This window comes from Homo sapiens, chromosome 1 (genome assembly GCF_000001405.40).
Source record: "Homo sapiens chromosome 1, GRCh38.p14 Primary Assembly".
Classification (NCBI taxonomy): Eukaryota; Metazoa; Chordata; class Mammalia; order Primates; family Hominidae; genus Homo; species Homo sapiens.
This window is the reverse complement of record NC_000001.11, coordinates 28368255-28380536: the sequence shown is the minus strand read 5'-3', so window position 1 is coordinate 28380536 and position 12282 is coordinate 28368255. Positions and strand designations below refer to the sequence as shown.

At 47.9% G+C, this 12282-nt stretch overlaps 1 protein-coding gene across 5 annotated transcripts in view, besides 3 other annotated features; it reads right to left on the bottom strand.

Moving 5' to 3' along the window:
• Positions 1–10797, bottom strand: part of PHACTR4 (phosphatase and actin regulator 4) — a 130625-nt gene extending 119828 nt beyond the window's left edge. For all 5 annotated transcript variants that reach the window (NM_001350159.2, NM_001350160.2, NM_001350161.2 and 2 more), the window contains exon 1: positions 10712–10797. The gene's annotated coding sequence lies outside the window, so the exon portion shown is untranslated. The remainder of the gene's footprint in view (positions 1–10711) is intronic.
• Positions 10424–10643: a silencer, noted in NCBI's record as "silent region_538". NCBI's record gives its function as "represses an Ori minimal core promoter by ATAC-STARR-seq in GM12878 lymphoblastoid cells {active_cell/tissue: GM12878}" and the evidence as "EXISTENCE:reporter gene assay evidence [ECO:0000049][PMID:35858748]".
• Positions 10670–11625: an enhancer, noted in NCBI's record as "H3K27ac hESC enhancer chr1:28695423-28696378 (GRCh37/hg19 assembly coordinates)". NCBI's record gives its function as "activates a minimal SCP1, AML or CMV promoter by ChIP-STARR-seq in primed H9 embryonic stem cells {active_cell/tissue: H9 hESC(primed)}" and the evidence as "EXISTENCE:reporter gene assay evidence [ECO:0000049][PMID:30033119]".
• Positions 10725–11019: an enhancer, noted in NCBI's record as "tiled region #70; HepG2 Activating DNase unmatched - State 1:Tss, and K562 Activating DNase unmatched - State 1:Tss". NCBI's record gives its function as "activates a minimal TATA promoter and a strong SV40 promoter by Sharpr-MPRA in HepG2 and K562 cells {active_cell/tissue: HepG2 | K562}" and the evidence as "EXISTENCE:reporter gene assay evidence [ECO:0000049][PMID:27701403]".

The window sequence follows — 12282 nt, the reverse complement described above, 5'->3', positions numbered from 1 at the left end:
TCACTGGTGCCTATTGGAGAGTAGAGGATGGGAGCAGGGAGAGGATCTGGAAAAATAACTAATGGGCACTAGGCTTAATACCTGAGTGACAAAATAATATACACAACAAACCTCCATGATACAAGTTTACCTGTATACCAAACCATGCACATATATCTCTGAACATAAAAGTTACATTTAAGGCCGGGCGCGGTGGCTCACGCCTGTAATCCCAGCACTTTGGGAGGCCGAGGCGGGCGGATCACGAGGTCAGGAGATCGAGACCATCCTGGCTAACACAGTGAAACCCCGTCTCTACTAAAAATACAAAAAATTAGCCGGGCGTGGTAGCGGACGCCTGTAGTCCCAGCTACTCGGGAGGCTGAGGCAGGAGAATGGCGTGAACCTGGGAGGCGGAGCTTGCAGTGAGCCGAGATCGCGCCACTGCACTCCAGCCTGGGCGACAGAGCGAGACTCCGTCTCAAAAAAAAAAAAAAAAAAAAAAAGTTACATTTAAAAAAACACAGAATAACATTTTTATCCCACACATCTAAATTAGTCTGTCCAAAAGTTAAAAAAAAGTTGATAATAGAAACACAAGTTGAGAATATAATATTTACTCCACTTATGGAAAAATAATTTTACAATTATGGAATATAAGAAATTATAGGCTGGGCGCGGTGGCTCACACCTGTAATCCCAGCACTTTGGGAGGCCGAGGCGGGCGGATCACGAGGTCAGGAGATCGAGATCATCCTGGCTAACACGGTGAAACCCCGTCTCTACTAAAAATACAAAAAATTAGTCGGGTGTGGTGGCGGGCGCCTGTAGTCCCAGCTACTCGGGAGGCTGAGGCAGGAGAATGGCGTGAACCCGGGAGGCGGAGCTGGCACTGAGCCGAGATTGTGCCACTGCACTCCAGCCTGGGCAACAGAGCGAGACCCCATCTCAAAAAAAAAAAAAAGAAAAGAAATTATAGGCCAGGGCCAGCCACAGGGGCTCACACCTGTAATCCTAGCACTCTGGCAGGCCAAGGTGGATGGATCACTTGAGACCAGGAGTTCAAGACCAGCCTAGGCAACATGGCGAAATCCCATCTCTACAAAAATTTTAAAAAATCAGCCTGGCGTGGTGGCCCGCACCTATAGTCCCAGCTACCCGGGAGGCTGAGGTGGAAGGATCACCCACCTGAGCCTGAGGAGGTAGAGGTTGCAGTGAGCTGTGGTCGCACCACTGCACTCCAGCCTGGGTGACAGACTGAGACTCTGTTTCAAAAAAAAAAAAAAGAAAGAAAGAAATTATAGGCTGGCCATGGTGGCTCATGCGTGTAATTCAAGCACTTTGGGAGGCCCAGGCAGGAAGATCGCTTAAGCCTAGGAGTTCAAGACCAGCCTAGGCAATGTGGCGAAATCCCATCGCTACAAAAAACCCAAAAATTAGCCAGGCATGGCGGTATGCCTGTAGTCCCAGCTACTCAGCAGGCTGAGACAGGAAGATTGCTTGAGCCCAGCAGGGGAGTTGAGGCTGCAGTGAGCCATGACTGTGCCACTGTACTCCAGCTTGGGCAACAGAGCAAGACTCTGTCTTAAAAAAATAAATACATACATAAATAAAAATAAAAATAAATAAACCTAGATCAGTGCCTGGGTAATAACAGTAATCAACTGGTAACAACTACTCTTATTTCACCTTCCATGTCCACCACTTCCAAATATATCTTCTCTCACCCTTTATTTCTTCATATTCCTCTTCAAAGTTTACTGTTTCATGAGCTTTTCATTCTATTTCCTCCTAAGACTTCTTCATTATCTACATTTTCTCTGTGCACATCTCCAATATCTGCCTCTCTGCTGGCTGCTTTCCCTTTCCCTTCAAACATGTCAAACCTCTCCCATCCTTAAAATCAAAACAAAACAAAACATTCTAAATACTTCCTCTATTTTTTCCCCCTTGTGCCCTTGGGTTGTTAAAAAAAAAGGGGGGGGGGGCTGGGGGGAGAAAGAAAGAAAGAAAAACAAAAAAATGGTTAAAAAAAAAACTTTTTTCTTTTTTTTTGAGATGAAGTCTCACTCTGTCACCCAGGCTGGAGTGCAATGGCATGATCTTGGCTCATTGCAACCTCCGCCTCCCGGGTTCAGGGATTCTCCTGCCTCAGCCTCCTGAGTAGCTGGGATTACAGGCACTTGCCACCACACGCAGCCAATTTTTTTTTTTTTTTAGTAGAGACGGGGTTTCACCATGTTAGCCAGGCTGGTCTCGAACTCCTGACCTCAGGTGATCCACCCGCCTCAGCCTCCCAAAGTGCTGGGAATACAGGTGTGAGCCACTGCGCCTGGCCAAATTTTTTTTTTTTTTTTTTATGAGATGGAGTCTCGCTCTGTCACCCAGGCTGGAGCGCAGTGGCACAATCTTGGCTCACTGCAAGCCGTGCCTCCCAGGTTCACGCCATTCTCCTGCCTCAGCCTCCCGAGTAGCTGGGACTACAGGCACCCACCACCATGCCCGGATAATTTTTTGTACTTTTAGTAGAGACGGGGTTTCACCGTGTTAGCCAGGATGGTCTCAATCTCCTGACCTCGTGATCCGCCCGCCTCAGCCTCCCAAAGTGCTGGGATTACAGGCGTGAGCCAACACATCTGGCCAAAAATTTTTAACAAGTACATAAATACCTTCTCTAAACCCTCTCACCAACCATCAAGATAGTAAGCAATTTTTTTTTTTTTTTTGAGATGGTCTTTCACTCTGTCTACCTGGGCTAGAGTGCAGTGGCGCAATTACGGCTCACTGCAGCCTCAACCTTCCAGGCTCAGGCAATCCTCCCACCTCAGCCTCCAGAGTAGCTGGGACTCATAGAAGCGTGCCACATGCCAAGCTAACTTTTTTGTAGTTTTTGTAGAGACAGGGTTCTGCCATGTTGGCCAGGCTAGTCTTGAACTCCACCTTGTGGCCTCATGATCCTAGGATTACAGGCCGCAGCCACCACTCCTGGCCTACAGATCATTTCAAAAAGCTTTGATGGGCTGGGTGTGGTGGCTCATGCCTGTGATCCTGGCACTTTGGGAGGCTGAGGCGGGCGGATCACTTGAGGTCAGGAGTTCAAAACCAGCCTGGCCAACATGGTGAAACCCCATCTCTACTAAAAAAAAAAAAAATTAGCAGGGCATAGTGGTGCACGCCTGTAACCCCAACTACTCAGGAGGCTGAGGCAGGAGAATCACTTGAACCCAGGAGGCGGAGGTTGCAGTGTGCTGAGTTCACGCCACTGCACTCCAGCCTGGGTGACAGAGCAGGACTCCCGTCTACAAAAAAAAAAAAAAAAAGGCTGGGTGCGGAGGCTCACGCCTGTAATCCTACCACTTTGGGAGGCCAAGGTAGGTGGATCACCTGAGTTCAGGAGTTTGGAACCTCAGGACCAGCCTGGCCAACATGGCGAAACCCTGTCTCTACTAAAAATACAAAATTTAGCCGGGCATGGTGGTGAGCGCCTATAATCCCAGCTACTTGGGAGGCTGAGGCTGGAGAATCGCTTGAACCCGGGAGGCAGAGGTTGCAGTAAGCTGAGATCACACTGTCACTCCAACCTGAGTGACAAGAGCAAAACTCATTTCAAAAAAAAATTAAGGCCGGGCGCGCTGGCTCACGCCTGTAATCCCCACACTTTGAGAGGCCGAGACAGGTGGATCACGAGGTCAGGAGATTGAGACCATCCTGGCTAACATAGTGAAACCCTGTCTCTACTAAAAATACAAAAAAATTAGCCGGGTGTGGTGGTGGGCGCCTATAGTCCCAGCTACTTGGGAGGCTGAGGCAGGAAAATGGCGTGAACCCGGGAGGTGGAGCTTGCAGTGAGCCGAGATTGCACCACTGCACTCCAGCCTGGGCGACAGAGCAAGACTCCGTCTCAAAAAAAAAATTAAAAGGTCTACATAGGCCCAGCGCAGTGGCTCACGCCTGTAATCCCAGCACTTTGGGAGGCCAAGGCGGGTGGATCGCTTCAGCTCAGGAGTTCAAGACTGGTCTGGGCAACATAATGAGACCTTGTCTCTACTAAAAGAAAAAAAAAAAAAAGAAAAAATTAGCCAGGCATGGTGGTGCATGCCTGTAGTCCCAGTTACTCAGGGGGTTGAGGTGGGAGGAGTGCTTGAGCCTGGGAGAGAGGTCAAGGGTTCAGTGAGCCCTGATCATGTCACTGGACTCCAGCCTAGGTGACAGAGTAAGACTCTGTCTCAATTTTTTTTTTTTTTTGAGACAAGGTCTCACTCTGTCACCCAGGCTGGAGTCCAGTGGCACAATCTTGGCTCATTGCAACCTCCACCTCCTAGGCTCAAGTGATTCCTGTGCCTCAGCCTCCTGAGTAGCTGGGACCACAGCAGTGAAAAAAAAGAAAAAGAAAGAAGAGAAAAGAAAAAGGTCTACATAATTTGGTTATGGTAGCCCCTGTGAAGACACGGCTGTGAAAGTTTTTTTTGTTTGTTTGTTTGTTTTTTTGAGATGGAGTTTCGCTCTTGTTGCCCAGGCTGGAGTGCAATGGTGTGATCTCAGCTCACAGCAACCTCCGCCTCCCGAGTTCAAGCCATTCTCCTGCCTCAGCCTCCCAAGTATCTGGAATTACAGGCGTGTACCACCACGCCTGGCTAATTTTGTATTTTTAGTAGAGACGGGGTTTCTCCATGTTGGTCAGGCTGGTCTCCAACTCTGGACCTCGGGTGATCCACCCACCTCGGCCTCCCACAGTCCTGGGATTAGAGGCGTGAGCCACCGCGCCTGGCCGATTGTGAAAGTTTTACAACAGGACTTTAGAGCTCCCTCAGAATAAAGAATCCATCCATTCCCTTCTCTCTTTCCTATTTTACTTATTTACTTATTTTTTGAAACAGGGTCTCCAGCTCTGCCACACAGGCTGTAGTGTGGTGGCACAATCATAGCTCACTGCAGCCTCAAACCGTGGAGCTCAAGTGATCCTCCTATCTCAGCTTCCTGAGTAACTGGGAGTACAGATGTCCACTACCATGCCTGGCTGATTTTTAATTTTTTTTTTTGTAGAGACAAAGTCTTGCTATGTTGCCAGGCTGGTCTCAAACTCCTGGGATAAACATAAAGTGATCCTCCTGCCTTAGCCTCCCGAAGCACTGGGATTACAGGCATGAGCCACTGGGCCCAGCCTCTCTCTTTATAAATAATCTTCTTCCAATGCTCCTTGTTTTCTTTTCTTTTGTTTTTTTTTTGGGGGGGTGGGTGGGGGCGGGCAGGGGTGGTGGGAGGATGGAATCTTGCTCTGTCACCCCGGCTGAAGTGCAGTGGCACAATCTCTGCTCACTGCAACCTCTGCCTCCTGGGATCAAGCAAGTCTCATGCCTCAGCCTCCCAAGTAACTGAGACTACAGGCATGGGCCACCACCCCCAGCTAATTGTTTTATTTTTAGTAGAGATGGGGTTTCGCCATGTTGGCCAGGCTCGTCTCGAACTCCTGGCCTCAAGTGATCTGCTTGCCTTGGCCTCCCAGAGTGCTGGGATTACAGGCGTGAGCCACCGTGCTGGGCCTCTTCTTCTAATAGTAGTAAAAATAACTTGCTACAGGAATTTGAAGCGAATAATGTATCCAAATACTTATTCTACTCCCTCTTAGAAACAATCCACAAGATAGGAAGAGCAGGAATCAATTACATCCATGTTAAAGACAAGAAAACTAAAGCTCAAAGAGGTTGAGTTGCTCAAGGTTGCAGTTATATGAGGGAATTTTATTTATTTAGTGCTTATTTACTGTCAGACTCCTTCCTCTTCCCAGCCAACCCTAATCAGTAGGTAAACCCCAAGAGGGAAAATACTTGTTTTCACTGTTTTGTCCTCAATGTCTACAACAGTGCCTAGAATATAACAGACTTTCCGTATTTGTTGACTGAATGAACAGATGGTTTTGGAAATGAAGTAAACCAACAGCAAAAGCACAAGGAAAAAAAGTTCTTTCCCATTATAATGCAATAATAAAAGATTTCAAACAGGCTACTACCAGTTAGAAAGGCTAGACTACATAATTGTATTGACTCAATTCCATTGGCATGTTATGCATTTTACCTAATAAGTAAGGGAGGTGAAATAGGTTTCTGTTTCTGATGTCACATTCATGGCATGTACTAACATAAATCCAAGACTTAACTGCAGGTTTGAAACTGATTAAAAGTTTTTATTAAAAGCAGAAACTAGAGAGAGCATTCTCTTGAGTCCCGATGGTCTGACTAAAAAAGTACAGTATCTTAATTTTGGTTCTGTCTTCAATGTTAGTTTCAGCAGCCAAAGCTATTGTATTTATGTTCTCCAACATATTTAATAAACCTTATAGCAAAGATTAGGGGGAACCAAAACTGAGTAACTCACCACTTTTTGAGCGTTGCATAAAACTGCCATTCTGCCTAGGCACAAGGTAATCACAGCATATGAGAAGACAAAGTAATGGGACCAATGTTCAATATAATTTAAGAGAAAGACTCATTGTTTATGGTTCCAGAAATTCCAGTTCCTTGTAAATCAATTTGCCTTAATTGGAAAATATTTTCCATTTTCTCCAATATTTAGATTTTAGCAAATTAAAGCTGTTGGTGCTGCTAAGATTAGTAGCTGTAATAAGTGTGAGGTAACTGAAAGAGGACTAGATTTGAAGTATGGTTTACTCTGATATTTCCTACCTGGGTTAACTATAACCTTGGGCAAGTCACTTCAACATTTTAGAGGCTAGGCTTTATCAGCTGTAAAATGAGAGTAACAACCATCTCACAGAACTGTAGTGAGGATTAAATGACACAATGTGTATTAATTTGTTTAAAAAATGGTACTGGGAGGCCGGGCATGGTGACTCATGCCTGTAATCCCAGCACTTTGGGAGGCTGAGGTGAGAGGATCGCCTGAGCCAAGGAATTTGAGACCAGGCTGGGCAACATGGCGAGACCTGTCTCTATAAAAATTATAAAATTATGGGCCAGGCGTGATGGCTGACGCCTGTAATCCCAGAACTTTGGGAGGCTGAGGTGGGCGGATCATCTGAGGTCAGGAGTTCAAGACCAGTCTGGCCAACATGGTGAATTCCCGTCTCTACTAAAAATACAAAATTAGCCAGGCATGTTGGCACATGCCTGTAATCCCAGCTACTCAGGAGGCTGAGGCAGAAGAATCACTTAAACCCGGGAGGCAGAGGTTGCAGTGAGCCAAGATCGTGCCATTGCACTTCAGCCTGGGCAAAAAGAGTGAAACTCCATCTCAAAAAAAAAAATTATGTTTAAAACAAACAAAATAAATGAATAAATATATAGCTAGACACACTGGCTCACGCCTATAATCCCAGCACTCTCGGAGGCTAAGGTAGGAGGACTGCTTGAGTCCAGGAGTTCAAGACCATCCTGGGCAACACAGGGAGACCTCGTGTCCACAAAAAAATTAAAAAATTAGCCAAGTGTGGTAGTGTGCACCTGTAGTCCCAGCTACTCAGAAGGCTGAAGTGGGAGGATCATTTGAGCCCAAGAGGTTGAGGCTACAGTGGGCCATGATCATAGCATTTTACTCCACCTGGGGGACAGAACAAGACCTTGCCTCAAAAAAATAATAATAATCATAAAAATAAATAATATTGAGAAAATTGTCATGTTTGTACAATTAAGCAATAGTCAATAGTAACTGCTGTTTCTTAGTTTATTATTTCTGTGTTTTTTTTTTTTTTTGAGACTGAGTCTCCCTCTGTCGCCCAGGCTGGAGTGCAGTGGCGCAATCTCAGCTCGCTGTAACCTCCGCCTCCCAGGTTCAAGTGATTCTCCTGCCTCAGCCTCCCAAGTAGCTGGGATTACAGATGCCCACCACCACACCTGGCTAATTTTTATATTTTTAGTAGAGATGGGATTTTACCATGTTGGCCAGGCTGATCTCGAACACCTGACCTTAGGTGATCTGCCTGCCTCAGCCTCCCAAAGTGCTGGGATTACAGGTGTGAGCCACCGCGCCCAACCAGTTTATTATTAAAACTAGAGCAATTCTGTGGTTGCTTCTTCAAACTATAGCCAGGAAAACACAAAAGACCCTCACTCACTGCTGGATTAAAAATTGAAGAACTGCATTAAGGATCTACCATCCCTATACAGTATTACTAATACAATCTAGGATTCTCAAGAGTAAGTCACTTCCATTATGAGATATCAAACAAAGTAATACAGGGTGAAGGGCTTTATTTTGCCTACTCGGCTAGGGCAGGAATTAACCTATCTAACTTCAGTAACCTTCCCTGATTCATGTAAAGGGGTCCTCCTGGCTGTCCTCATCCCAGAGACTTGAAACACGAATTAACCTATTTTTCAAAAGGGTTATTTGCAATGACCTTCTTTAGAATTTTTTATTGGCCAGGCACGGTGGCTCACACCTGTAATCCCAGCACTTTGGGAGGCGGAGGCAGGTAAATTACTTTAGGTCAGGAGTTCCAGACCAGCCTGGCCAACACGGTGAAACACCATCTCTACTAAAAAAAAAAAAAAAATTAGCCGGGAGTGGTGGCACATGCCTGTAATTCCAGCTACTCGGGAGGCTGAGGCAGGAGAATCGCTTGAAACCAGGAGGAAGAGGTTGCAGTGAGCCAAGATCACGCCACTGCACAGCCTGAGCAACAGAGCAAGACTCTATCTCAAAAAACAAATACAGTATTCTTTATCTTAAGGTTTAATACCAGCACTTTGGGAGGGAGGATCACTTGAGCCCAGGAGTCCAAGACCAGCCTGGGCAACAGAGTGGGACCCCAATCAATACAAAAATTTTTTTAAAAATTTTTTTAATTAGCTGCGCTGGTGGCCTGTGTCTGTTGTCCCAGCTACTCTGGAGGCAGAGGCTTGAGCCCAGGAGGAGGTCCAGGCTGCAGTGAGCAGTGCTCAACTCACTGCACTCCAGCCTGGGAAACCCAGCGAGACCCTATTTCAAAAAATAAATACATAAAAATTGGCCAGGCACGGTGGCTCACGCTTGTAATCCCAGCACTTTGGGAGACCGAGGCGGGTGGATCACCTGAGGTTAGGAGTTCAAGGCCAGCCTGGCTAACATGGTGAAACCTTGTTTCTACCAAAAATACAAAAACTAGCTGGGCATGGTGGCACACACCTGTAATCCCAGCTACTCAGGAGGCTGAGGCAGGAGAATCGCTTCAACCTGGGAAGTGGAGGTTGCAGTGAGCCAAGATCGTGCCATTGCATTCCAGCCTGGGTAACAAAGTGAGATTGTCTCAAAATAAATAAATAAATATAAATAAATTAAATTAAATAGTCGGGCACAGTGGCTCATGCCTCTAGTCCCAGGCATCTGGGAGCCTCTGGTGGAAGGATGGCTTAAGCCAAGAAGTTCGAGGCTACAGTGAACTAGGAGCTCTCCACTGTACTCAAGCTTCAGCAACCAAGCTAGACTCTTGTCTCTTAAATGAAACAAACAAACAAATTTTACCTTAAGCTGATTCTAGCAATGCAGTCTTCCAACAGGAGGACATACACAGTTACCATTATCTAGCCAAATTTGATCGAATCCACAATCCACGCAGTTCCGCGGTTTCCGGTAAGAATCTACCACACCTCATCCCCTAAACTGGCTTCATTTCTAAACGGGCTTCATTCCTTTTTTTTTTAAGATGGGGTCTTGCTGTGTTGCCCAGGCTGGTCGCGAACTTCTGGCCTCAAGCGATTCTCCTGCCTCAGCCTCCAGAATAGTTGGCATTACAGGCGCGCGCCACCACGCCCGAAATTCATTTCTTTAATTTGGCGAAAAAGTAAGTGACTTCTAGAAGCCACTGGGTTTCTGGTTCCTCTATAAAGCAAATTCTTCCACTGAAGGACTTTTTCCTTCCACTGTTTGTTTTAAAAAGAACAAGAAAAGGAAGAGGTTGGAAGGAGCGAGGAGCTGAGTGTCCGAATGAAGCACTGGAGGGTTTTTTTTTTTTGCAAGCAATCAGTGATGCCCTGTAAGTCACTCTCCTCCGAGATTTGGGAGGTGCGTGAACTGCCATTCTACCATTCACCACTGGTTCTTTGGTCCACCGATCACAGATGTGAGCTGCACAGACATCGCAGCAAATTCGATGCCTTCCCGGTTTCCCGGAGCCGGGGTGTAGAGGGTGGGAGAGAGGGGTCGCTTCTTTTCCTTAATCTCATCTCTCCACCAAGAAAAACGTCGGGAGTTTCGTGCCCTGAAGCCGCCCAGGCTGATGTTTGAAAGTTAAATAATAACCTCCAGGTTTTTACAGAAACTCCGCCTGGCTCCGAAGCCCCCGTTCTGCCCAGCAGGGGTGCAGAGGTCTGAGGCAGGACGGTTTTGAAAAATGTACTTTGACCCGATCCGGTTACTGTAACCGGATCCCCAGGGAGCAGTCCCTGTTGGGGACCGGGGGAACAGGCTCCCCCGTGGCGGAGACTCCATGCACGGACACAAAGGGGGAGCAACGCAGCCCAGACAAAAGGGCCCAGCCAAGTCTCGGGGGGCGGAGAGGGCGAGCCTGCGCGGGCCCTGCCTCAGGCGGAGAAGCCCGGGTTGGACCGTTGTGGGAGGGCCGAGGAGGGAGGCGGCGGCCCCGCCCCGCCCTGGCCCGAAGCGACGGCGACCCGGGCCGTTACCTTCTGCCCGGACCGGGACCCTCTCGCAGAGCCAAGAAAGGGGCCGCAGCCTGAGAGGAGGCCGCAGCCTGATACTGAGCGCGTCCTGCTCACTTTCCCTTGCTCGCTGAACTTACCCAGATCTCCGCCGCCGCCTCCTCAGCCTCCACAGCAGCCTCTCCCGGAAATCCTACCTGGCCCGTTGGCCGCCAGGCAGCAGCCGGAGCCCTTGGCCCCCGGGGAGGGGGAAAAAGGGAGCCGGCTGGACAGTGTAGGGTAGGACGTGCCGCCGCGGAGGCTTACGGGACTTGTAGTCCCCAGCAGGGGCCGGTTGCCCGGCAAGCTGAACAAAATGGCGGGAAGCGTGCGTCCTTTCTCTCCGGGCGGTCGTCCTCCTTACGACCTCTCTGGGCATGCGCTGGCCGCTCTGCGCACCTTGTGTGTAAAAGAACTTGGGCACCTTTCCTGGTACTATGGGAGGCAAAGGTCTTTGGGCTTGGGAGGACAGGGTTCAATACTGGGCTCCAGGCAGTACCCAAAAAGGGAACTGATACAAGAGTGTTGTTTGAGAAAACTGTATCCCTGACTGGCCAAATTTCAATCATAACCTCCCCAAAGGAAAAACTATTTATTGAGGACCAATTTGAAGTGCAAAAAACGTACAAGCAAGTTATCTACCCTCAGTGTTGTGCGTAAGAAACCCAGGAATCATTCTGGACACTTCCCTCAAGCCATTAAGTCCAGTCATTCTACATCCCCAGTATTTTAATTCATTTCGATATCCTTCACTACTATCACCTAGTGAAAGCCACCATCACTTCTCTCCAAGTCTCAGTAGTTTCAGGCCCTAGGCTATCACCCTCCGAAAACCTTCCTTGCTGCTGCCAGAGGACCCTTCTAAATGCAAACCCATTGTATCACACAACCTAAATTAGACCTACATGTAAAACTTGAAGCTACGGCACATCTAGAGGACATTCCAGGAGAAAAATCGATGTGACTTTTCAAATACACTATCCATAAAATTAAAAAAATTGGCCAGGCGCGGTGGCGCATGCCTGTAATCCCAGCTACTCAGGAGGCTGAGGCAGGAGAATCGCTTGAACCCAGGAGGCGGAGGTTGCAGTGAGCCGAGATCTTGCCATTGCAGTCCAGCCTGGGCGACAGAGCAAGACTCCGTCGCAAAACAAACAAACAAACAAACAAACAAATTATCCGGGGCCTAGTGCCAAGCTCCTGTAGTCCCAGCTACGTGGGAGGCTGAGGTGAGATGATCACTTGAGCCTGGGGGGTCGAGATCGCACCAGTGCACTCCAGCCTGGGCAGCAGAGCAAGACCCTGTCTCAATAGAAAAAGAAAAAAGAAGAAAAAAAAATTGGCCGGGTGCAGTGGCTCACACCTCTCATCCCAGCACTTTGGGAGGCTAAGGCGGGAGGATCCCTTGAGCCCTGGAGTTTGAGACCAGCCTGCCAGCCTGGGCAACAGAGTGAGGCCCCATCTCTACAAAAACAATTTTAAAAATTAGCTGGGCATGATGGAACGTGCCTGTAGTCCCAGGTACTCAGGAGGCTGAAATAGGAGGATTATTTGAGCTGGGGAGGTCCAGGCTGCAATGAGCTGTGATGGTGTCGCTACACTCCAGCCTGGACGACAGAGGGAGACCTTGTCTCAAAAAAATATTTAAAATATATTTATTGGCCTGGCACGG